This window comes from Homo sapiens, chromosome 12 (genome assembly GCF_000001405.40).
Source record: "Homo sapiens chromosome 12, GRCh38.p14 Primary Assembly".
In the NCBI taxonomy this organism is placed as follows: Eukaryota; Metazoa; Chordata; class Mammalia; order Primates; family Hominidae; genus Homo; species Homo sapiens.
This window is the reverse complement of record NC_000012.12, coordinates 76,010,187-76,036,128: the sequence shown is the minus strand read 5'-3', so window position 1 is coordinate 76,036,128 and position 25,942 is coordinate 76,010,187. Positions and strand designations below refer to the sequence as shown.

The window sequence follows — 25,942 nt, the reverse complement described above, 5'->3', positions numbered from 1 at the left end:
TCTACTTGGTATCAAGACTTTTTCTAGGTGATTGGGACACATCAGAAACAATGGTCCTTGCCCTCTTGAATAGCTTGCATACTATTCTAGTGGGAAGGGGAACAGAAATAAGCAATAGGTACAATAAATTATTGAGTAGCATGTTAGAAGATAATATATGCTATGGGAAAAATTAAGGGGAATTGAGTGGCTACCATTTGAGAGTGATCAGGATAGGCCTGTTGAGCCAAGACTTGAAGAAAGTGATGGAGATAACTTTGGGTGCTATGCTGAAAATAGATAACAAGGATAGAATCAGGGAGACAAGTTAGGAGGCCATCATAGTAATCCAGTGGGGGGATATGATGGTGATTTGGATCAGGGTGGTAATGAAGGAAGTGGACAGAATCCAGATGTAGTTGAAGGCCTAACCAGTAGGATTTCCTGACTAAATGTGTAGATTAAATATTGGGAGAGAAAAAAATTACTACAAGGCAGGCATGATTCTACACACTTGAAGGCCTGGGGCAAGAGTACAATGGAGATACCGTATGTTTAAATATTTAAAAGTACTGTTTAATGAAAATATGCCCAATGTGCCTGTCTTGACAAACTTTCATTAGAACTGGGAAGCCAGGTTTGTATTTATGCCAGAATATAACTTGCGGGCAGAGCTGACCCTCAGCCCATGAGCCACCTTCCTTTTCTTCCCACCCCGGCTCTGAACTGTATGGCAAGGGGCCTCCTGCACATTTACTTGGATGCCATAACCAGTATATTCGAACTGCCCTATCCCCCTAACACATCAGTGCATGCAATGATGATGTAATGCATTTCCTGGAACAGCTGGGGCTATTCTGGGCAGGGTATTTGGGGTCTTGAGTACCTAGAGTGTAGTGCAGAATGAGTATGCTCTCTAGATTGACATGTCATCTTGACTCTAAAGCACTCAATCCTAAAGCTCAGGGCCTTGGATAAGGGCCTTTCCTGGCCTGGTGTAAGGGCAGTACTGATCTACGGTTTTTAGTTTGAGCATCTGTACAGAGGATTGCTGTCAACTGAGAAAGGGGGCTGCAGGTAGAGTAGGTTAGAGTGAGGAAAATAGTTTGGGAGCTCATTCACATGTTTGATTTCTTAGACTACACAAGCCGTACTGTAGAGAAGTGTAAATGGAGAATTTTCAACTTATAGTAGCACTCACTGGCCTGGAATTGATAAAAACTGAAGGCTGTTTTTCACTATAGTTAATTCTAACCTATAAACTGGAGCAGTTCCATGTAGGAATTTGTTAAAACCTATTGTGTATGAATTACAGACTCCTCTGACCATCCGAGTGTTCTTTTTCAGTTTTTTTTTTTTTTTCCTATGACCTAAAATCCCCTCAGACTTAAACCTTTAGTGAACTACTCAGTAAATGGCTTTACTAGTAAGTGTTCCCTTGCCTGGTATGTTTATTATTTTTTAACTTCAGTGTTTTATTCTTCGGCAGTAAGCAGTTGGATATAAGTTGGGGGTATAAATTTGGGACTCTGGCATATAGATGTTATTAAAAGTGATGAGACTGGATATCAACAAGGGAATGAGTGTAGATAAAGAAGAGAGCCAAAGACAAAGACTTGGGGCATTCCAACATTAAAAGTTTGGAGAGAAGAGAAAGCACCTCATAGAGGAGACACTGGAGATGTAAAGGAAAACTGAGTGATGTCCTTGAAGCCAAGTGATAAACTTTATCCAAGAGAAGAAAATGAACTGTCCAGTGCTGCTGATAGATAACTTTATATTGCCAGCTGTAAAATGTACTTTCAATTAGCCATTTCAAATTTGTTTACCAAAGCAATGATTTTGTTGGCTAGTTTTCTAAACTTCAGTAACTTTTCAGTGACTTGTAGGTTTTCATTGCATATACAGCTGAATTTTTTTTTTTTTTTAAACAGGGTCTTGCTGCCACCCAGGCTTGTATAGTGGTGCGATCCTAGCTCCTGCAACCTTGAACTTCTGGGCTCAAACAGTCCTCCACCTCAGCCTCCCAAGTAGCTGGGGCTACATGGCGCATGCCACCACACCTGGCTAATTTTTTTTTTACATTTGTAGAGGGAGGCCTTGCCATGTAGCCCAGGTTGGTTTCAAACTCCTGGGCTCAAGGGATCCTCTCACCTCAGCCTCCTAGAGTGTTGGTATTACAGGTGTGAACCACCATGCCTGGCCCAAAAGTTGTTTTTTTTTTTTTTAAGTTATTTTCTGTAATGCATTTTCTGTGAATTTATTGTCTTAAAAATTGGCAAATATGGCCATTTTGACATATTTGCCAAATATGAGCATATGGCAACTATGCTCTTAATTTGTTAAGTCACCAACTGTTGGTGGTAACTGTTGAAATAACAAGAGCAAAGTTATCACCAATCTACGGGATCCTTACACTACTGATATTTTCAATAATGCACCGTAGTCAGACATTGTAGACTTAACCTCTGAGCTGCTCACAAAATTACTAAATCATTCTGAAATACGTAACTGCAAATTCTGGGCTTTAAAGTCTCTAGTTAAATGGGTGATTTTGAAAATTGGTGGCTGTTCAGACATTTTCAAATGAGAATAGAATGCATTTGTTTCAGACTGATAAACTGCAGAAGGTTAGATAACACCAAACACATTTGAGTTTCTCCTAAGAAAATGACTTGGGCCTCCAGATTACATCTCATTTTTTTTTTTTTTACCCTATCAAGTTTGTTTTTCCATATGAAATGTCTTTCCCAACTACACCTGCCCTTGGAGACTGTGAATAACAGACTTAAAGGAAGTATCCTTTCCAGATGAGCTGAAGAATGTCATCCTCTTAAAAGAATGAACAGCTGGTCATGTAGAAATTCTCTGGAATGCTCACTTGTCCTACAAAGGCAGGGGAGCAGAAAACATGTAGTTTTTTTGTTATTGGTATACATAATTGTAAATCTTCGAGATAATTTTACTAGAAGTCCACATAATTTTAATAATTGCCTTTCTCCTGAAAAGATTGCTAATAAATTAACAATGTGAAGGCTAGAAAGCTGGCCAAGCATAATCCGGTGGGACTCAGGATTGCTGGCTGGATTGTCCCGTTTGATCAGACATTGTTTCTTAGATGAATATTCAGGACGCCCTCGTGTATAAAAGTTGTCCTTTGTTCTGACTACCTTGGTATTAAGTTCGAATTTCTTACCATGACACACAAAGGATTCGATTCTTGCTTAGCTCTCTAAGCTCCTCTCACTTTCTCTTCCCCTCTTGAATTCTTTGCTCTTGCCACACAACTAGCAGATGAACTAATCTATCTGTTCCAACGTGGGCACAGTAGCAGCCGTAACTCTTACCTTGGCCCACTCTGACTTGTCCAGCCCTGGTTGAATTCTTCGTATCCCCGTGAGGGTCCGCACGTAGTTGGGGCTGTTTACTAAACGGATGAACTTCCCTACCGGGAGGCTAGGTCTCGGTTATGCCTTACTTCCCAGGAAGCGGCTTCTATAGGCATTGTTTAAATGTAGGAGTAGGAGGGAGCTGGGGGTATTGCATTCCCCAGGTCACAGATAAATGAGATTCCAAAACCAAGATCTGGCTAGGCCTTGGAAAGAGGGACCTGCGAGGCCGACCAGACGTTTGGAACTGCGCCTTGCAGTGTGGGATCTCAGCACCGGATATTACCCCGGTTTGTAGAGAGTTGAGTTACTGTTTTAAGAGACGTTGCAAACCGTACGGGTCAAGAAGAAAGCCGAAGACGGGTTAGCGCCTGCGGTCGGGGTCGAGAAAAGCAGGCGAGATGCGACCTGACGTGGGTCCGCCTCTCTCCACCCGTGGCAAGCCCGACAGTCGCACTATTGCTTTAACAATCGCCCTCTTTCCAAGAAGAGCTACTTAGTGACCGTGAGCGAATATGCGTGGGAAGACACGATGTCCTCTCGGCCTCTGTGCGCTCAGTTGTTTACCTAGGCGTCCGGGGGAGGCACACTCGCGGGACTCGCGGGACTCGGCCCCGGCCTCCCAGCTCGCCCAGGACACGACGCTGGTTCTGCGGGCTCTCGGAGCCCAGCGCGAATCCCCCGGGCTAATTCCCAAGAACCGAGAGGCAGCACTGCCTGGAGGCTGCCCCCGCCTCCGCGCCCCCGTCCTCACTTTCTGAGGCTGTTAGCAGAGAGTCCCGCGGGCCGGGGAGAAGCGGGACGCGGGGGATGGCCTCGCAGCGCCCTGTGAGCGTCGGCAGTAGTCAGGCAGCCAGGGCTCCTTGGGCGATCGCCCTGGGTAGAGGAGAGGAGTTTCCGGGGCTCGGGTCCGGGTCGCCTTCCAGGGGAACGAGCGCGGAAGCAAGTGGGCGGCGAGAGGCGGAGCAAGAGACGCTGGAGGGCGTGGACGCAGCGGGCTTTGGAAAGGCCCCAAGTTAATGAGGCGTGCGCCGGCTGCCGAGCGCCTCTTGGAGCTGGGCTTTCCCCCGCGGTGCGGGCGCCAGGAGCCGCCTTTTCCGCTGGGTGTCACTCGGGGGTGGGGAAGATGGCCCATTCAAAAGCGCCGCGAGGGGGCCCGGCCAGTGCCCTTCAGTGAGCGCTCGCAAGAGGACGGCAGAGGCCCGGCAGCTCGGAGCTCCGGGACCTTGTGGCGCATCAGGACGCGGCTGTCCCTCTGCCGGGACCCAGAGCCGCCGCCGCCGCTCTGCCTCCTGCGTGTTAGCCTCCTCTGCGCGCTCCGGGCAGGCGGCCGTGGGAGCCGCTGGGGCGAGGACGGCGCGAGGCTGCTGCTGCTGCCCCCGGCCCGCGCGGCTGGAAACGGAGAGGCCGAGCCAAGCGGCGGCCCCTCTTATGCTGGGAGGATGCTGGAGAGTAGCGGCTGCAAAGCGCTGAAGGAGGGCGTGCTGGAGAAGCGCAGCGACGGGTTGTTGCAGCTCTGGAAGAAAAAGTGTTGCATCCTCACCGAGGAAGGGCTGCTGCTTATCCCGCCCAAGCAGCTGCAACACCAGCAGCAGCAGCAGCAACAGCAGCAGCAGCAGCAGCAACAACAGCCCGGGCAGGGGCCGGCCGAGCCGTCCCAACCCAGTGGCCCCGCTGTCGCCAGCCTCGAGCCGCCGGTCAAGCTCAAGGAACTGCACTTCTCCAACATGAAGACCGTGGACTGTGTGGAGCGCAAGGGCAAGTACATGTACTTCACTGTGGTGATGGCAGAGGGCAAGGAGATCGACTTTCGGTGCCCGCAAGACCAGGGCTGGAACGCCGAGATCACGCTGCAGATGGTGCAGTACAAGAATCGTCAGGCCATCCTGGCGGTCAAATCCACGCGGCAGAAGCAGCAGCACCTGGTCCAGCAGCAGCCCCCCTCGCAGCCGCAGCCGCAGCCGCAGCTCCAGCCCCAACCCCAGCCTCAGCCTCAGCCGCAACCCCAGCCCCAATCACAACCCCAGCCTCAGCCCCAACCCAAGCCTCAGCCCCAGCAGCTCCACCCGTATCCGCATCCACATCCACATCCACACTCTCATCCTCACTCGCACCCACACCCTCACCCGCACCCGCATCCGCACCAAATACCGCACCCACACCCACAGCCGCACTCGCAGCCGCACGGGCACCGGCTTCTCCGCAGCACCTCCAACTCTGCCTGAAAGGGGCAGCTCCCGGGCAAGACAAGGTAAGGTCCCGGCACTCGCGCTCCCGAGGAGTGGGTCTCGGGGGTAGTGAGTTGGGAGGAGTAGGAAGCTTGTTCACAGGTTCGGCTCCTGTATGGAGAAATCAAAACTCATACCAAGTTTCTGGGGCAATGGAAGAAACAGAAACAAGCTGGGGCCAGGAGAGCTGGGCAGAGAGGGGAGGCTGGGGAGATCCGGGCCAGGCAGGGGGCCTCGCGGACCGCGCCCGCGCCCGCGCCCATCACGACCGTCCTTGTCCCGTGGTGCGTCCCCCAGCCCCACTTGACTATATGTTTGGGCAGTTGAGGGAAACACCACGGTGTCTTTCTGAGCCCGCTTTGTCAGGCGGACTGGCCCGAACAGAACTGGTCTCGGAGGGTTCTTAGCCACCTACTTCACTCGGTGTCATTTCTTTCCAGGTTTTGAGGACTTGAGGAAGTGGGACGAGCACATTTCTATTGTCTTCACTTGGATCAAAAGCAAAACAGTCTCTCCGCCCCGCACCAGATCAAGTAGTTTGGACATCACCCTACTGAAAACTTGCGATTCTTCTTAGTTTTCTGCATACTTTTCATCACGATGCAGGAAACGATTTCGAGTCAAGAAGACTTTTATTTATGAACCTTTGAAAGGATCGTCTTGTATGGTGAATTTTCTAGGAGCGATGATGTACTGTAATTTTATTTTAATGTATTTTGATTTATGATTATTTATTAGTTTTTTTTTAAATGCTTGTTCTAAGACATTTCTGAATGTAGACCATTTTCCAAAAAGGAAACTTTATTTTCAAAAACCTAATCCGTAGTAATTCCTAATCTTGGAGAATAAAAAAGGGCGGTGGAGGGGAAAACATTAAGAATTTATTCATTATTTCTCGAGTACTTTCAGAAAGTCTGACACTTTCATTGTTGTGCCAGCTGGTTGAAATTAAAACTCTGATATTACTTTTTTTGAGGATTTTTATTTTTGTTTTTGCTTAAACATATAGTTTGTCTAGAAGTTTAAAAAGCTAAAAGTTAAAAATGGTGTAATTATGAAAATCTAACACTCAAGATAGTTTCTAAAAGGAAATCAGTAGTTAAGGATACCTGATTTCAAAATATTTAAAGCATAACCTAACTGATGGTAGGATGATTGTATCTTGAATATGTGGTAGGGCCACATCTATTGTAGGAAAACCTTGCTTTTATCATCTGTGTGTAAAGGGCTTAATAAGGAGAAGAGGCCTTTTGACTGATTTGTGAGTATAAATGCATTTGCTGTTTCATTTCAAAAATGTTGTGGAGGAAAAGAGTACATTTAACTTGTATAAGAGAATATTTGTACTCCTGTCCAGGCTGCAGGACCTTTCTTCGAGAGCTTTGCACACTTGACTTGAACCACATTTTCTGATCCCTTTACTTTGTTTTAGAAGCACACTGAAAAATCTCGTTGTTTAAAGTACAATTTGTAAATATTTCAAAGGTCTAGGAGTCATAACTTTTGTTTTCATACTGAAAATGATGTTGATCAGAGAAACCAACTGTTTTGCTTTTCATTGCTCTGTGAGAAATTTGAGGATTCTGTTTTGCTGTTAGGTAAGCTAAACTCAGAAATTGAAAAGGAAAAGACTGGATAAACACAGGATTTTCAGTAAGAAAACAACCCCAGTCTTGTCTTAGAAGCCACTTGTTGAGGAGTCTGTTGGGGGAAAAAAGAGGATATGCTTTTAAAGGTAGAACAAACCTTCTTCTGTGTTAAATCAAAAGGATGTTCAAAATCCACCAGGACAGATGCTACTTGGGTTTAAATGGAGCCATAGATGATACAAAGTCCTCTTGGGGCTGAAAATCACTTCCTATTTGCATGGCTTTACTAACTGGTTTCTGTTTTCCATTATCTTTTTCACAGAAAGTCTTGGTCAGTATTTTTCCAGCATTTAAATTGAAACGGTCAGTATTAGACCACTGCTAGGTTATGTAGTCAAGAAATAAAAATAGAATTACATGCTACAGATGTCTTTATTCTCCTTCCATCTAGAAAGGAGTTCCAAGGTCAAATTACTTTTTAGTGCAATAGTTAAATGACATTTTGAGATCATAACTCATATCCAAAAAGTTGCAGGGAAAATTAAAATAGCTTTCCCCTATTAAGCTAATGGCAAACAAAACTTAAGTGGACCCCCACTTCCAGTGGTTGTTTAGGTTGCAGTTGTGAAAATATGCTGCCAACATTTAAAAACTTGTTTCATATGTATATATGTATACACATATATGAATATGTATGTATATATACATATATGAGAACATGTGTGTACACATATATGAATATGTATATATGTGTATGTATGTATATATGTATATGAAATGAGAGCCACATCTAAAGATTTCTTAAATCAAGTTTGGTTCAGCTTCCTTAGAACTGTGGCTGTACTTTTTGAGGAGTACCTCATAGTACTATATTTTTAATGCATGCAAATCATAATAGCTCCAAATGAACCACAGTTTTTTCCCAATGGAGGATTTTTTTTTAATTCTTGTACTAAAAAAAAAAAATCCATACCAAATATTTTTACAAATTAAGATTGATGTAGGTTTTAAAAAAGGCATTTGTATGTTGTTAGCTTACATATGGGGCTAGGTAATTTCATTGCTTAAAAAGATGCGCCTAGGCTCCCTCTTGGTGGCTGGATTTCTTTTTCTTCGCCCGTGGTGGCCATGGTTCTTAATAGGGCCACCGGAATCATGGTTTCTTTTTTTTTTTTTTTTTTTGAGATGGAGTCTCGCCCTGTGACCCAGGCTGGAGTGCAGTGGCACGATCTCGGCTCACTGCAACCTCTGCCTCCTGGGTTCACGCCATTCTCCTGTCTCAGCCTCCTGAGTAGCTGGGACTACAGGTGAATGCCACCACGCCCGGCTGATTTTTGTATTTTTAGTAGAGATGGGGTTTCACCATAGTGGTCAGGCTGTTCTCGAACTCCTGACCTCAGGTGATCCACCTGCCTTGGCCTCCCAAAGTGCTAGGATTACAGGTGTGAGCCACCACACCCGGCCCCAGAATAATGGTTTCTTGACTTTCTGTAGCCCTTGTTCCTTAGTCTGCTGTGATATTTATGTTGACCTTTATCATTTTCTATTCTGAACCCCTCTTAGCATTTAATGTGAAATCTAAGAAATTAGAAGTAGAATGGCTTTTATTGTTTTGACACCTTTGAAATTATTATTAATAATTTTTCCAGAGCAAAAAAGCAAACACGCTCAATAAGACTAAACAAAACAAAATATAAATGTACATCATTTAATGTCCCAGTGGCTCTATTCTACCTGTAAGAAAATGATACAAAACCACCTAAGATATTTTGAAGCCTGACAAATCAGCTTCATGGAAAAAGGTAAAAAATGCATTTTTCAACCGAAAGGGCAGATCCAATAGAAGACCCGCTCCTTAAATAAACATAAAATGTAAAAAGTTGGAAAATTAAGAGTAATGTTCCATCTGGAAACTGAACTTTTGTCCTTGAACTTGTGTTGGCACCAAGCCTCATACACAGTGAGCTCAATAACTGTTGGGACAAAGGAAGGAAGGACAAAATGTGTAACTTCCCAGCATCTGGGAGATGCTGTCTCTTGCCTCACTGAGTGTTCCTTTTCTTTGCTCTCATGTCATTCCCTGAGAACAATGAATTCTGGGACAGGCTAAACATCATGATGAAGTTTCTTAAACAGACTTTCTTAGTGGAAATCCATTTAGATCTGGGTGTGCTCTATGGGGAGTGCTGACGTCAAAGAGCAAATGTCTATAAGGGGCCCTTTTAAAATGAACATTTTCCTCATTGAGCAAGCTGGGATTCTCTAATGTAGAAATCAAGCCATCTTTATAATTTCACTTCAGATGTTTATGTTTTTGTTTTTTTTGTCTCCAATGATGGTAAAAATAAAAACTACGCATTACTTAAAGGAGTTTCCCTCACATGTAAACACTGTTAGGAAGTCTGGATTAAGTTGAAAGTCCTGTTTTAACTTTTTTTCTCTCATATACCAAACACTCTGTATTTCTCTTAAAGAAGCCCTTTAAGAGAAAGCCCTAATTTTATATCTGACAGTAAAGTTTGCTGCAAGTGTATGAGTTCAAACACATCCCTTGTTTTCTGTCCCTAGGGGAAAAGTCATGTAGTTTTAGCTTGGCTCCAGTGTTAATATTATATTCAGTAGCAGCCTTAGAAGAGTGGTCTAAGACTTGAACCTGGAGCAATTTTATAGCACAGAATCCTACGAAGATAGGACTGTGAACATTTGTTTTCTTTTTCGTGTGTGTCAAACTAACTGGTTTTTGCTTTACCAATAAAATGTCCTCGGCAGAGTAAATTTTAAACGTGAAAATTATAGATCTTGATATTGAATCCATCAGTGATTCAAGAGATACACCTATTTGCCTAAAACAACCTAAGATGTATTGGTTATGGAATCATGTGTTGGATAGGTTCTTAAGACCTGTTTCCTCAAATCTTGACACAGTTTTCAAGGGTGGCTTATTGACTTGCACGGTTGGGCAGATAATCCAGATTTACCTAAGATTGGGTAAAAAAGTCATCTGTGACTTTGCTGGCAGGGCATTTGCTAAGTGGAGTACAGGATCTAAAAGGGTTTTCTTAGAAAGGGCAATATTGTCCAATGAAGTAAGCAGAAGGACTCTGGGTTAGAAGCATCTGCACAAAAACTGGTGAGACCTACTCTCCACTGCTCTGCAGCTGGATGGCTGATGGCAGGCTGAGCAGTGGGGAAGCAGGTTTTAACAACAGGGAGTCCTTCCAGGTCACTGTATATTGAGAAGAAACATAAAACTATTGTCTGTTACATTCCGAGGTCAGCCTTCTTCTTAACGTTTTATAATATGCAAATGCCAGCTTCTGGAAAGCAAGTATCATCATGTACCAAATGCTTTATACACCATCACATTCATGAATTTTTTAGCATGGTCAGAACTTGTGTAAATATGTCTCTTAGATGATTTTGGGGAGATGTGATTTATTTTTCATATTTTCAAAATGCATTTCATTTCAAATAAAGTTATCTATTGAGACAACCGACCTGTGGACCTTTTGAAGGCCTTGTTCAACTGGCACATGCATTGTGTGTTCCTGTGAAACAGAGATTCTGAATTGCTTGGGCATTCTGGGAAAAAAAAAGACCATTTTTGAGGTTGGGAATTCATCTTTTAAAAAATTCACTGGGAATTTGGAATATGAAAATTCGCTCAGGTATGTTGGTGAAAAAATTAGCTTTCAGAATGCTAATGAACTTTAATTGAATTTTCCATAGTTTCCCAGAGGACCAGAAACAGTTCCTAGTGAATCAGCTCAACAGCAATACCCTCTTGAGTCCCAGAGGTAGTCTAGTTCTCTTATGTCTCTTGGGAGGGTAAAGCTTTGTCTCTGAGTCATCCTTCAAACGGTATTCATAGACCTTCCTATTTTGTGTTGAAAGCAGAAGAGGGACTTGATTCTTTAAAGAAAAATAGCATAACTTTATTCTTACAATCTCCACTGGCATCTAAAAGCCTTTAAATCTCAAAAGACTTTAAAATAGGAAACTTGAAGGCATTTTTTTGTATCCCTTATGCCTTAGCATAGTCATGCATTGACAGCTTTACTACTCTAGTTTTTTTGTTTTGTTTTTTTTTTTAAAGAAAAAATGTGAGAAGACAAATTACTATCATGCTGAGGGGACTTCAGGGACACGGTGTGAAATAAATGTGTGTAGTAGGTGGTAGCCCAGGATTGGTAAGAGCCAGGATTTGAGAGTCATAGTACACGGGTTCAAGTCCCAGTTTCACAATTATTAGCTGTGTAGATCTTGAATTACTTAAACTCTTGGAAACTCAGTTGTTTCCTTTTCTGTAAAATGGAGTTTATAAAGGTACTTATTTTAGGGTGGTTGAGGAGATTTAATAAGTTAGGATACATAAAATTACTTAGAGCAGTGCCTGGCATCACTATGAAAGGAAGCTCCTTGCATTAGGACAGATAAACAGGTGGGGAATCATTATAGCCATATGAATATATAATATATGGTATTCTGAAGCTAGGCATTGTATTTTCTGAGATCTCAGCACTTATTTATTTATTTAAAACATAGTGTTGCTTTGTTGCCCAGGCTGGAGCACAGTAGCGCCATCTTGGCTCACTGCAATCTCCACCTCCAGGGTTCAGTTCTCCCACATCAGCCTCCTGAGTAGCTGGGATTACAGGCGTGTGCCACCACAATGGCTAATTTTCGTATTTGTAGTAGAGACGGGGTTTCATCATGTCGCCCAATCTGGTCTTGAACTCTTGACCACAAGTGATCCAGCTGCCTCGGCATCCCAAAGTGCTGGGATTACAGGTGTGAGCCACCATGCCTGGCCTCAGCACTTCTTTTTCAACGGTAAGAACAGTATAGTTGACCACATCCTTGTATTCAACTTTGAAAAAAGAGAAAAATACATTATAGAAATACTATTTACAATTTTATTATTATCATTATTTCTTTGGAGACGGAGTTTTACTCTGTCGCCCAGACTCTGAGATGCGGTGGCACAATCTCGACTCACTGCAACCTCCGCCTCCTGGGTTCAAGCTATTCTCCTGCTTCAGCTTCCCGAGTAGCTGGGATTACAGGCCCACACCACCACGCCTGTATTTTTGTATTTTTAGTAGAGACGGGGTTTCAGCATGTTGGCCAGGCTGGTCTCGAACTCCCGACCTCAGGTGATCTGCCTGCCTCAGCCTCCCAAAGTGCTGGGATTACAAGCATGAACCACCGCACCTGGCCAATTTTTATTATTTTTTAGAGACATGGTCTTGCTCTGTTGCCCAGACTGGAGTTCATTGGTGTGATCATAGCTCACTGCAGCCTGGAACTCCTGGGCTCAAGCATCCTCCCACCTTAGCCTCCCAAAGTCCCAGGATTACAGGGATCAGCCACCATGCCTGCAAGCACTACCATTTTAATGACAATTTTCATTTGCTTATTACTTTCCAGTCTTGGTCCACATGCTCATGTATTTTAAGTTATTTATAAATTATTCTATCAAAATAGTCCATATGTGGGTGTGGTGTTCTGCCCAGATTGCCACTTCAGGACAGAGAGGGCATTCAGTCACCATATGTGGAAGTGTTGGTGGCTATCATGTTCTCAGCAAGTCCTTTCCCTGAGGACCCACCTTGTCCTAGAACACACCCCCTCCTTGGGGGTAACCTGCATCCTGTGATGGGTCTATGGGGAGTAGATGAAGGCCAGGCCAACGGTAAAGGATCATCCCAGCTGCAGAGCTGCCTGTGGAATTGGCAGAGGCCTATCACAACCAGTGGGCATTGTAGTCCAACTCTCACTCTGCTCAATTCTGTTTCCCTTGCTTCCTTACAGGTGAGGTTCCCAAAAACACTACTTGGGGTGGGAACCCTCGCTCTCCCCTTAACCTCCTGCCGTCAAATCTCAGAGTCTCAGAACCTGTATCTCAGGCAATCCTATCTATGACCATATCTGTTTCTGTATGTGAGTATATGTATGTTCCCACCACCAGGTTCTGTAGGAAGGCTGGTGGTGTTGGGAGGGGAGTAAACAGCATAATGGTGAAGCATAGGCTTTAGGGTAGTGGCTCTCAACCTAGAGCAATTTTGTACCCCAGAAGACATTTAGCAACATTTGGAGACATTTTTGGTTATCACAAGTGGTGAGTAGAGGCCAAGGATGCTGCTACATATTCTACTATGCACAGGAGAGCCCCACCTACAACAAAGAAGTACCCCACCCAAAACGTCAATCATACCAAGGTTGAGAAACCCTGCTTTGGAATCAGATAGTCTCATTCTTATTAGCTGAGTTGCTCTGGGCAAGTAATTTAATTTATTTTAGCCTCAGTTTTCAGCGTGTGCAATGCAGACAATGATAGTACCTGTCTCATGGAGTTGTGAAACCAAAATTAGTTCACATAAAGGACTGTGGCTGTTCCTGTCGCAAAGTAAGCATTCAATAAGTGGTAGCTATCATCCTTATTATTATTGTTTAAAGTCATAATGTTAATGACAGCATAATATGCCATTTAGTTGGTGTATTATTTCACTTATTTGCCTATTGCCATCTGGTGATTTTCTGTTGTTATGCTGTTAACAGTACAGCTGCAATAAACATCATCATGCATAGATTATATTGAATAAAAAGCATGAACTGGGATTCTAGTTCTGACTCTTAGTCTTCTGACATTAGCAGCTCATTAAATCTCTATGAGCCTTAGTCTGCTCATTTGTAAGTGGGAATAATAGCCCTGCCTGAGAGAAGCTATTATGAACATACTATGAAGTGGCAGTAAAATCTGCATGAGTTCAAGTCCCAGAGGCACCACTTAGCCACTTTACTTACAGTAGAGCATCATGAAAATGCAAACATTATTATCTGGATTCCATTTTAAGAGGAATTAGATATTATATATTCATATACATATGTATATTTCAATCCAAATAATCTGGTTTTAAGAACTAGGATGGGCTGGGCATGGTGGCTCATGACTGTAATCCCAGCACTTTGGGAGGCCAAGGCAAGAGGATCACTTGAGGCCAGGAGTTCAAGACCAGCCTGGGCAGCATAGCAAGAAGCCCATCTCTATTTTTTTTTTAAGATTCTGACAAAGGCTTATTAAAAAAAAGAGAAATAAAAATTTTAAAAAAGAAAAGGAAATAGGATGTTACTGTAACTTAAAAAAAAAAGGTATCAAGAAATTCCTAGTTTTTTGTAAAATTTGACCCAAATTTATACTTATGTTAAAGTAGAAGGAATCATGTCAACACGACATTCCAACTATCCAGAATTATTGACAGAGGAAAACTTGAATACTGAACTCATTGGCCATACGAATTTATTCAGCAAAATATCCTTACTTGCTTTTTTTCTCAAAGACCTGGTGGGAAGCCCTCACCAGCTACATAGAAAGGCCATAATCAAATAAACGTCATGGTGCGAGTGTTCTAGAGCTCTAGCCTTACTTGCCTACAAAGTAAGTCTGTTTATCAAAGATGGCACCAGTGGAGGCCACAACACTGTGGAAATTTAGATGATCTGGGATAGACTGTCGCTATAGGCAAATTTAATTGGTTTGAGGATTATTCAGAATCTTATTTTATCTTGAAGGGATTGTCAGGACCTAGGGATAAAGAGGTCCCCTTCGTTACTCCCAGACACAGAGTCAGAATTAGCTGCTTCTGAGATAGAGTCGATGTGAGAACGGCTTGCTTTTTGCCAGAGCATTCACCTGAAGCATTTGATATTTAGTCAGGCTCCGGAAATGAAAACTTGAAAAAATAGTCAATGCGGTTATGTTGTATACTCTTAAGGACTGCCAAAGTCGTTTATAATGGAGTGAGCAAACACGTACTGCCGTGTTTTAAGACCAGACATCCTGTGCTTCCAAAGCAACTGATAAATGAGTATTCAAGTACTGGGGAGAAAGAAACAGGAAATGACCCTTGGGGAGTTTCAAAGTTTTAATTATGTTACTATCCTCCACTGGCTTTCTCCAGAAGCTGATAGTTCATACAGTTGACTTATTTTGCGAGTATTTTGAACTTTGCCATAGCAAATTGTAACCAGTAGTGTGGCTTACCCCGTCAGAGCTGACTCATGACCTCAAAACTGCAGACCAGCTTTGTGACTAATCACAGCCAAAGAAGCCAAACTTGTAACAGTTCTTTTTTTTGGTTTTTAGTTGTTAAAGAAATGTTCATTTCTACAAAGCTTGGCTGTAGTTCGTTGGCTGTAGTTGGTAAACACCTGCCTTTAATGATCCTTCCAAGGAACCCCCAAATATATACATTGTGTGCGTGTATGTGTGTGTGTATTATAATTACTGTTTTTACTCTTCTTGCTAGTAACTTTTCATGGCATATGAAGGCGGGCTTGTCAGTTTTTTGGTGCAGAACCTGATCTCTAAGTGTTTGAAGCAGCCCTGGGCAGAGTGGCTTCCTTAGAGCTTTGAGCGTCCTGCTTTGAGGGTGAGGCCTATCCTGCCCGAACACCTATGACAAAGCAGTGGTCTGTGGTGGTGCCAGGTCCCTTTGTAACTTCCTGTTGCCACATTTCAACACCACCGCTGGAGGGGATGACTGTGGTCTCAGTGGGAGAACAATTCAGTGACTTACTTTTTTAGTTTCTGACAGAAAAGGAGACTCCTCAGGTGGATTGCATTTGTATATGGGTTGCATTTGCAGGCGTGAGAAAGCATTTAATCCTTGCCACAATGTGCTGGCTCACTACGGAATAATTGTAATTATTGCCAGGGGTTCACATGAAATCCCTGATGCCTGTAAGTCGTGCCAGGTAGCTGCCGGAAGACCTGAGCTTCATGGCTGTCTTAACAGCTGGTGGACCCTGGTTTGAGTTTGCTTTCTAACAAATGTTAGGCAATAATCTCTCTCCTACCTGCAGAAATACTGAGTTTGAAATCAGAGTTGATCATGGCATTTTGGAAGTTTAGATGATGTAGCATCCATCCTTCCCCATTTTACAGTGAAAAAAAAAATGATGTGAGGAGGTGTCAGTTAGCCACCCAAGGTCACACCGGCAGTTAAAGTTAAAGACATGATTAGAACCAAATTCCAGTTTCCATGATTCTTAATTAATGCTCTTTCAATACTGCACCACTGCTTTGTAAAGCCTGAAAGACAATTTCCATAAATCCAAGGTGTTGTTATTCTTGCAAATAATCACTCGAAGCATTCAGACATCATTTATAGTCTTTTCAGCATTTAGATGAAAAGATTCATCACATCTTTTCCCCAAAAAGTATAAACTGAGATGGAAAGTAAACTGTTTAATTCCATAGTTTTAAAAATGGAATCATGGCCAGGCTCAGTGGCTCATGCCCGTAATATCAGCCCTTTGGGAGACAGAGGCAGGAGGATCACTTGAGGTCAGAGTTCAAGACCAGCCTGGGCAACAAAGTGAGAACCCGCCTCTACAAAAAATAAAAAACACAGCCTGATGTGATGGCACACACCTATGGTCCCAGCTACCTGGGACTCTGAGGCAGGAAGACCACTTGAGTCCAGGAGTTCGAGGACACAGTGAGCTCTAATTGCACCACTGCACTCCAGCCTGGAAAACAGAGTGAGACCTTGTCTCAAAAAAAAAAAAAAAAAAAGTTAATCATGTTTTACCCTTTTCAAATATAATCCACATGGATTAACAAAACTTCAGGAAACAGGCAAATTCACAAAAGAAACCAGAGTGTGTGTGTGTGTCTGTGTGTGTGTGTACAAATATATATATATATATGTATAAATATATATATTGCTTTTTATAAAATGTTAGGCAATAATCTCTCTCCTACCTGCAGAAATACTGCAGAAATACACACACACACACACACACACACACACACGCATATATATATACACACACACACATTTTCTTTTTTCTTTTTTTTCCCTCTTCTCTCTCCTTCTCCTCCAGAAGTATATTTTGAAATGGACTTATTTTAAAATGTGGTTGTTAGAATATATTCTTTTAAAAAAGCCATTTGAAATTGATTTTATCTTATGACTCCTAAAATATTTGTGGAATGTTTCCTGTTGCTAGTCACCCTCAGGTCTTGAAATTACCTGTGGAGTTGAAAAATGTTGAAGTGATTTGAATGTTTATACAGTTACTTGAGGAGGTAGCTGCCTAGATTTGTAGCCTGTGTAGGTGTTGGGAGAAATATTTTCTGAAAAGGTTGGTTGAGGGTAGTGGATCTATGGGCACTGGTGAGATCCTAATACGTGGAGTGATAAAAATTTGTTGCTGCCCTTCTGGGCAACTAGGTGAATGCAATTCACATAGCTCCAAATTAAACCATAAATAACAGTTTTTGACCTACCTAGGATATTAAGAACTTCAAACCACACAATGTTTTCTTGTGTGCTTCTTTTACTTAAGGATTTAACTTGGAGAAGATTTTAGAGTTTGTAATAACTTTTCATGAAAGGATAGGGAGAAAAAAGGAGCAGGATCTTTAATAAGTAGATGTACTTCTGCATCCAGCAATCCGGCTTTTAATTCAAAATTGTGTATGTGCTCTGGGTGATGCCAACATTTCCTCTTACATAAAGTGACCTTTTACGGGGTTTCATTCATAGCACTTGGCTCCCTCCTGGAGTCACAGTGCTTGTCACAAGGCAGTGGATTGCCTGCTGGTTCTTATGCAAGTGATGACTGGGAGGGCTGATAGGGGGTAACGCGGACAGCCTCTCTCTCTGACAGCAGATTGTCAGCATTCTTGACCCGGGCACTCTAAGAGCCTGGGAAAACACTTTGATTTCAATGTGGCTTTAAAAAATGATATTCAGTTGAACCAAATGACTGTGTAAAATAGGACCACAGGGCAGGCCAGGAGCGGTGGCTCATGCCTGTAATCCCAGCACTTTGGGATGCCAAGGTGGGCGGATCACCTGAGGTGAGGAGTTCAAGACCAGCCTGGCCAACATGGTGAAACCCCTTCTCTACTAAAAATACAAAAAATTAGCTGGGCTTGGTGGCAGGCGCCTGTAATCCCAGCTACTCGGGAGGCTGAGACAGGAGAATTGCTTGAACCCAGGAGGCGGAGATTGCGGTGAGCCAAGATCACGCCATTGCACTCTAGCCTGGGCAACAAGAGTGAAACTCCGTCTCAAAAAAAAAACACCCTGTTGTTACAGATAAATCAAAATAAGTGTATTAAGATAAAGATTTACTTCTCTTTTATGTAAAAGTAACCTAGATGTGGGTGGCCCAGGGTGGGTAAGGTGACTTTAGTTTGTCACAGATCCGGGTTCCTTCTTTCTTTTCTCTTCTACCACCCTTGGTACAGGACTTCTAGCCTCATGATTCAAGATGGCTGCTGGAGTTCCAGCTACCATATTCGAGCTCTAGAACAGGAAGAAAGAAAATTAGGGAAACAGCAGCTCACTGCAGCCTCAACCTCCTGGGCTCAGGTGATCCCCCTGCCTCAGCCTCCTGAGAAGCTGGGATCACAGGCACGCACCACCACACTCAACTAATTTTTAAATTATTTGTAGAGACAGGGTCTCCCTATGTTGCCCAGACTTGTCTCGAACTCCTGGACTTAAGTGATTCTCTCAACTTGGCCTCCCATAGTGCTGGGATTACAAGTTTGAGCTACCATATCCAGCCTAGAAAAATTTTGGAATCCCAATATGGTGACTTCCACTTAACACCACATTTGCTATCCAGGGTTGCAAAGGAGGGCTAGAAATGTACTGGCCAAATTGCCATCCCAAATAAAATTAGGGTTCTGTCAGCAAAGAAGGAGGGGAGAATGGTTATTGGAAAGGAAACTAGCAGCCTCTATTATAGGTCTTATTAGCCTCTACTTAATAGATAAGAAATTGAGGATTGGGGAACTGAAGAAACTTGCCAAATAAACAGCAGGATGAGAATTGTTATCTGGGTATTTAACTCCACTGCCTTTGCGCTTAAACGCTATGCAAACTGTGGCTGTGTGCTAGCACTAAAATACGATGCAGACCTCTCTCAGAGATGGGAATGCTCTTAAAGACATTAATTTAGAGTATTTTAGGTATTCTTTTTTTTTTTTTTTTTTTTTTGAGACGGAGTCTTGCACTCTCACCCAGGCTGGAGTGCAGTGGCGTGATCTCGGCTCACTGCAAGCTCTGCCTCCCGGGTTCACGCCATTCTCCTGCCTCAGCCTCCCGAGTAGCTGGGACTACAGGCGCCCACCACCACACCCAGCTAATTTTTTTTGTATTTTTAGTAGAGAAGGGGTTTCACCATGTTAACCAGGATGGTCTCGATCTCCTGACTTCGTGATCCGCCCGCCTCGGCCTCCCCAAGTGCTGGGATTACAGGCGTGAGCCACCGCGCCCGGCTATTTTAGGTATTCTTATAATTCTTACTAAGGTTTACACTTTCCTTTCTCATATGGTACTGTTGTAATGATTTTCAATTGGTCCTTCGTTACATCTGAACAATTTAAATAGAACAAAACTAAATTTCAAAACAGAAATACGTAGTTGCTTTCAGTGCCTTCCTGTCAGAGTCATATTGACATGGTAAAGATATAAGAAAGATCGAAGGTTCTTAGCGGAAACTGGAGCAATAAAGCCAGAGACACCATCAGTGGTGCTTGCTGGTTTTGCAGAAGCTAGCTCCCTTAGAGACGTCATGTCCAGCACCAATCACAGAGTCTATCAAAAGATCCAAATCAAGAAAACAGGAGAAGAATCTCAGGCTTTTCATTCATGCTCAACAAGAGGAGCATGCTTTTACACTATCCCGGGAGATTCCTCAAGGGTCAACAAAGAGTAGTAGAAAGAATCCTAGATTCTAGACTTGGCTTTGCCGTTAACAAGTTGTGTGACCCTGAGCACATGATTTTGCGTCTCTGGACTTTAGTTTCTTTGTCTTTAGAGTAAAGATATTCTTCAATTGCCCTGTTTCAGTTGTAATAGTTTACAAGTAGTGATTTCTGTACTCATTTGCCTTTCTTTGGAAAGACTACAACTTTGAATTTGAAGGACCTGGATATGACTCAGTGCTGACTCTCTTAAGCTGTGTAACTTTGCACAAGTCACCTAACATTTTTGAATCTTAGTTTTCTTACCTGTAAAATAGGTATAATAAATCCTGTCTCATGGAGCTAGTGTGACGATTAAAATAATGAGATGTGAGAGAACTTTGTCTCCATTCAGACAAAACATCTAGAAAGTGCTTGTCTCCACTGTCTGCTAAAGAGCATCCCCATTTCATGACCCTTCCTTCCTTCTTTCCTTCCTTCCTTCTTTCCTTCCTTCCTTCTTTCCTTCCTTCCTTCCTCCTTCCCTTCCCTTTTCTTTCTTTCTTTCTTTCTTTCTTTCTTTCTTTCTTTCTTTCTTTCTTTCTTTCTTTCTTTCTTTCTTTCTTTCTTCCTGTCTCTTTCTTTCTCTCTCTCTCTCTCTCTTTCTTTCTTTCTTCCTTTCTCTTTCTTTCTTTCTCTCTCTCTCTCTCTCTCTCTCTCTCTCTCTTTCTTTCTTTCTTTCTTTCTTTCTTTCTTCTTCAGGTTCTTACTGGGGTACAGTGGCACGAACATGGCTCACTGCAACCTTGACTTCCTGGGCTCAAATGATTCTCCTGCCTCAGCCTCCCTAGTAGCTGGCACAACAGGCATGTACTAACATGCCCAGCTAATTGTTTAAATGTTTTGTAGAGATGGGGTCTATGTTACCTAGGCTATTCTCAAACTCTTGGGCTCAAGCAATCATCTTCCTTCGGCTATCCAAAGTGCTGGGATTACAGACATAAGACACCCTCACCCTGCTCTATTAATTTCTTTTTCTTTCTTTGTTTTTTTTTGTTTTGTTTTGTTTTTTGTTTTTTTTTTTGAGATGGAGTCTCGCTCTGTTGCCCAGGCTGGAGTGCAATGGCGTGATCTCGGCTCTCTGCAAGCTCCGCCTCCCGGGTTCAAGCAGTTCTCTGCTTCAGCCTCCCGAGTAGCTGGGAATACAGGTGCTTGCCAACATGCCCGGCTAATTTTTTAAATATTTTTAGTAGAGATGGGGTTTTACCATATTGGCCAGGCTGGTCTCGAGCTCCTGACCTCGTGATCCACCTGCCTCGGACTCCCAAAGTGGGGATTACAGGCGTGAGCCACTGCACCCAGCCTGCCCTTTTAATTTCAATCTCTTGGAGCCACATGCAGCAAACATCTTCATCAATTTACAAAAGCATCTGGTTTTACTCTGTGATTTTCCCCTTCCTTCCTATGGGAAAAAGAAGGAAACTATAAGACCTGCTATTTTATAGGATTTTGTTTTGGTTTTGGTTCTTTTGACACACAGTGTGTCTTCAACCCACCTGTATAATGAGAACTCCTTAGAATAATGAAGGGTGCTACATAATCAAAGTACGTGGTTGCTTGCTGAGGTCGGAACATATTCTAACTTGATCTAGAATTATTTTCTACACCATGACCTAAAAGTGAAAATGGATGGTTTTAAAAGACTTAATTTAGGCAGAAAATTTATTTAAGCCAAGTCCTCTATTACCTGCACACTCTAATGAGCAGTGTTTTACTTCAATTATGTAAACGGAGAGAATAACGATTGAGGAAATATAATAAAACTTGAACAATAATAGTTCCCATTTTCTAAGCATTTATTTTATGACAGGTCTTTTATCATAACAGTGCCTCGAGATAGGTATTGTTATCTCCCTTTTACTGATAAGAAAACAGAAGCTTACAGAAGTTGAGAAAGTTCCCAAGAGCAGAGGGCAATTATGCGGCAAAGCTGTGATTTGATACGGATCTGAGATACTCCAGAACCCCTATTCCTTTCAGGGCAGGAGGCTAACTCCCAACCCTTTAATGTAAGCAGGCCTGGGGGAGACCAAGGGCAGCCGGGCTCACCTTTCCTCATGAAAAGAGAGTGGCCGGGGAGAGGGCAGCTGTGATCTTCCAGCGATGAGTTTGGAGCCATAGGCCGGCTCAGGCGGCATCTCTCCCAGACCACCCTGCAAAACAGTCTGTGGGTTTTGAAGGCATCATTTTATTTGTGGAATGATGAGGTTATGAATTGAGGGGAAAAAACAGAAAGACTAGTTTGATTTAGCATTTATTCAAGAAAAACATATGACTTTATAAGGAGCGGGATGGAAGTCATGTCTCCCAACTGCAAACACTGCTGCCTGAGGAATTAATGAGAACATCTCATCATCCCAGAGGCCCCCCACAGTGCTAAGCCTGCACCCAGGGCCTTAGCTGAGGAAAAGCAAGAATCATGGTGAATGGGTAGGCTCAGTGGAGAGCTGTCCAGCTGATGGGATGAGGGCAAGCTCACCACATCTCGGCAGGAGGATGGACACGCAAGCTCTTCACCTAGCTCGCTTTCACCCAGCTCTTTACCCTCTTTACTTTAATTTGATTTTTTTAAATTAAATAATTTATCAAAGCCCCTTCTGGAGCTGTTGTTTCTCCCCTTTTAAAAAGAACTTTCTGGCTGGGTGTGGTGGCTCACACCTGTAATCCCAGCACTTTGGGAGGCCAAGGCAGGAGGATCACTCTCGCTCAAGAGTTTGAGGCCAGCATGGGCAACTCATCGCTATTTAAAACAAAAAACAAAAATAATAAACATTTAAAAATGAGCTTTTTGTTTTGTTTTGTTTTTAGACAAGATCTCACTCGTTGCTCAGGCTGGAGTGGTGCAGTGGCGCAATCATAGCTCACTGCAGCCTCAAACTCCTGGGCTCAAACCATTCTCCTACCTTAGCCTCTCAAGTAGCTGGAACTACCGGAGCAATGCCACCATGCCCAGCTAATGTTTTTAACTTTATGTTTTGTAAAGATGGGGTCTCACTATGTCGCCCAGAGTGGTCTCAAACTCCCGGGCTCAAGTGATCCTCCACCTCAGCCACCCAAAGTGTTGGGATTACATGTGTGAGCCACTGCGCCCTGCCAAAATGAGCATGTGAGGGTCTTTGTGGTGTTGTGGAAGGGCTGCAGCCCCTCCTGTCCTGGCTGTCTCATCTGACTGCTTGCACCCTGTGTGTGCTCTCTGGCTGCAATGATATCACCAGGAGACCCATCAAGTCGGCTTTCTGCAGCTCCTTGGGGATTACTGGGTTCAGGCCTAATCCTCAACGGCCCAGGCCCTAGGCATTTGGACAGGGCTACCACTCAGGCAGGAGAGATGCTGAGGCTCAGCGTGGGAGTGTGGAAGGGGCAGCTGACCATGACCCTTCTCCTCCCAGCTTTGAATCTCATTTTACTTCAGAGACTGCAGAGCCCTGAAGCAGAGCCGCCTCCCTCAGTCTGCAGAATCCAGGTTGCTCTTCAGGTAGGAGATGCACCTTTTTGTCCTAAGGGATTCCTCTTACCCCCTGTTTGAGGGGCTGGGGAATTTTTGAGTGTGTGTAGCGGGTGAGATGGCAGGTGGAGGTGGGGTATGTGTGGAAGACGCTTTCCCAGGAAGACCAGGTTCCTAAGGGATGTAGGAGTTATAGAGGGGGCAAAGATGCAAAAAGCAAGACAGACTTTGCCAGGGAAGCAGACCGGGGAGAGATTTTGAGTAAGATGCAAACTCCAAGTGTTACAAAGACACTAAAAGCAAATTGCCTGGAAGGGTGATGGCAAAGCTCTCACACTTACTTGGTGCTATCCATGCCTTCTAGAGGAGGTGATGGTGTTGCCCAGCAGTGAACATCTTTCTAAGAGCTCTGTTTCAGTACTTCCTCCCCTCCCTTCCTCCACCTTCTCCTTGGTCTGCCTGCAACCTCATCTCTTCCAGGCCCTTGCGTGGGACATCTGGACAATCTGCCTGTTATGTGGATAGAAGCTTTATCTTTGATTCCTGCCCAGGGTCTGTGTCTCCCCCTGCCCACACCACTTCACACTATCAGCCCTTGGTGCACGTCTGACCACCCGGCATGAGGTGCTCATGGGACTTTCCAGAAGGAGGCTTCTCTCATGGAATGCCTGGGGCTCAAGAGCACTAGAACTCCAGGAATGGGGCAGTTCCAATTTCCCTGGTGGCAAGTACAGTTGGAGCATGTGATGGCACATCACCAGCAAAGGAATGAACCTGGAGATGAAAATGGAGTTCAGTGGAGAGTCAGACTCACGGCTAAGAAAACACAGAGGCCTCGTGGGGAGCTCAGTAGGGGTAAGCACAGGAGGCAGGAAGAAGAAAAGATGGAGGCCTCATGGGGAGCTCAGTAGGGGTAAGCACAGGCGGCAGGAAGGGGAAAGGAGCTAACCTAGTCCTCACTGATAGCATAGTAAGAAATCGGAATGTCCCAGATCCCAGCCCCTGACCATGGAAATCACTGTGACTTGGGCAACAGTGACAATAGTATTTGGTTTGATCTCCCCACCCTCTCATTGTCGTCTCCTCATCTCCTTCCCCACAGGGTCTAGGCAGCTCATTGAATACCTGGTGTTAACCCTTAATGGACAAAGCTACTATCAACCATGGCTGCTGCTGTGGCCTCCATCGTAAGTGAGTCTGGCTTTTCCAGTTTACAGTGTCATCCCCTGAGGAACTTAGAAAGGCTTCCCTGGGCCTGGACCAGGTGCCATTTGAGACTCCATCGTGTGTGATATTTATTCACAAGTGTCCATCAGTTTGGATCCCTCTACGGGCCCTGTCCTTGGCTGCCTTTCCCTCAGGGTGGTTCCTGATAACCAATGTGTCTTCTTTCTTTCCTCCTCCTCTGCTCTTCCAGGATAGCAGGACAGCCTTGAGTCTCCTCTTAGCTCAGGAGTGCTAAGTCCAGTCTCCTGGGTGTCTGACTGTCAAGACCAAAGTCCGGTTGCTGCTTCTACTTGGAGGCTTGAAGATTCCTCAGACAGATAGAGAAACCCTAGTAGCCATTTCTCAGGGTTTCCAAAATAAGCGTACAGATTAGTACCCGACAGTGACATGTAATTTAAAAAGCAAGTAGCAAAATAATTCTTTATGAGTCACTTGTAAAGACCAGGCCAGACTTGTGTTTTTAAGCAAAAACAGAGACTCTTTCAATTAGGTTTTAGTAAGCCCCAAGCTATTTTTGAAGTTGAGTGCTGGGAATCCTTTTGAGCACAAAGGCAGAGTCCCTTTGGGCACATTGGACCACCCCTGGAGTCATGAAGTGGATTGGAGAGGCATTCCAAAGACAGGCTGGGAAAAACCTGACAGGAAGTATTCCCAGAACAAGCTACTCCCAAAGTCCCCGTTGGCTAATGACTAGGGCATAATTGTAAACAAAGCAGACCAGCTTCAAAGAATAGAGATGTGTCTCTGAGCATCAGCCACTCAGCAAAGAGGAAAATGCCCTCCTGGCTTTTGGCAACTCACAGCACCCCTTCTGCCAGAGCATTCTGACATTAATCAAGAAACACACATGTGCTATTACCCAGAGCCATGTCTGAACCCACCTCCAGCCTCCCAAGCCCTCTCCTCAGCCCCAGTGCTCTCCATCTCTCAGCCAGATTTTCCCAGGGTGGAAAAGAAGGAGGTGGCAGGGATGTGAGGAAAGGGGATGCAGAGGCCAAGATGGCCAGGGTATTGGGTCTCCTTTGATGTCCAAACAGGTTGGTTTTCCAGTGGGTAAGGTCCTGAGACAACCTTGCTCATTGACCAGTTAATCCTGCTCAGCACAGCCTGGTGTTGCAGAGCAAGGCCTAGGCAAGCTGTGGAATTAGTTCTAGACTCCACATCTCAGCTCTACTGCTTAGTGGACTTAATATTTTATTAAACCTGTTTTCTCGTTTGTAAAATGGTAATGATAATCTTGATCTGTGGATAGGCCTTGTTTTGAAATTATAAATGTATATAAATAAATATATTTAGTGCCTGGCACATAAGTG

At 43.9% G+C, this 25,942-nt stretch overlaps 1 protein-coding gene and 2 long non-coding RNA genes across 3 annotated transcripts, besides 3 other annotated features; 1 reads left to right on the top strand and 2 right to left on the bottom strand.

Annotated features, from left to right (window-relative positions):
* Positions 1 to 1,739: 1,739 nt before the first annotated feature.
* On the bottom strand, positions 1,740 to 4,316 carry PHLDA1-DT (PHLDA1 divergent transcript). Its single transcript, NR_185978.1, has 2 exons — positions 3,327 to 4,316; positions 1,740 to 2,865 (listed from the first exon to the last, which is right to left on the bottom strand). It is a non-coding gene; the product is annotated as a PHLDA1 divergent transcript (long non-coding RNA).
* Positions 4,198 to 4,447: an enhancer, noted in NCBI's record as "active region_6674". NCBI's record gives its function as "activates an Ori minimal core promoter by ATAC-STARR-seq in GM12878 lymphoblastoid cells {active_cell/tissue: GM12878}" and the evidence as "EXISTENCE:reporter gene assay evidence [ECO:0000049][PMID:35858748]".
* Positions 4,353 to 10,682, top strand: PHLDA1 (pleckstrin homology like domain family A member 1). The gene is made up of 2 exons (NM_007350.3): positions 4,353 to 5,619; positions 6,037 to 10,682. Exon 1 carries the CDS (start codon positions 4,388 to 4,390, stop codon positions 5,591 to 5,593), a length of 1,206 nt encoding a protein of 401 aa, NP_031376.3. The 5' UTR covers positions 4,353 to 4,387; the 3' UTR covers positions 5,594 to 5,619; positions 6,037 to 10,682.
* Positions 4,668 to 4,817: a silencer, noted in NCBI's record as "silent region_4664". NCBI's record gives its function as "represses an Ori minimal core promoter by ATAC-STARR-seq in GM12878 lymphoblastoid cells {active_cell/tissue: GM12878}" and the evidence as "EXISTENCE:reporter gene assay evidence [ECO:0000049][PMID:35858748]".
* Positions 4,751 to 5,635, bottom strand: PHLDA1-AS1 (PHLDA1 antisense RNA 1). Its single transcript, NR_186034.1, has 2 exons — positions 5,535 to 5,635; positions 4,751 to 5,218 (listed from the first exon to the last, which is right to left on the bottom strand). It is a non-coding gene; the product is annotated as a PHLDA1 antisense RNA 1 (long non-coding RNA).
* Positions 25,086 to 25,380: a silencer, noted in NCBI's record as "tiled region #1339; K562 Repressive non-DNase unmatched - State 22:ReprW". NCBI's record gives its function as "represses a minimal TATA promoter and a strong SV40 promoter by Sharpr-MPRA in K562 cells {active_cell/tissue: K562}" and the evidence as "EXISTENCE:reporter gene assay evidence [ECO:0000049][PMID:27701403]".

Excerpts from the sequence above, each read along its gene's own strand:
- PHLDA1 (NM_007350.3), top strand. The coding sequence starts at position 4,388 with ATGAGGCGTGCGCCGGCTGCCGAGCGCCTCTTGGAGCTGGGCTTTCCC.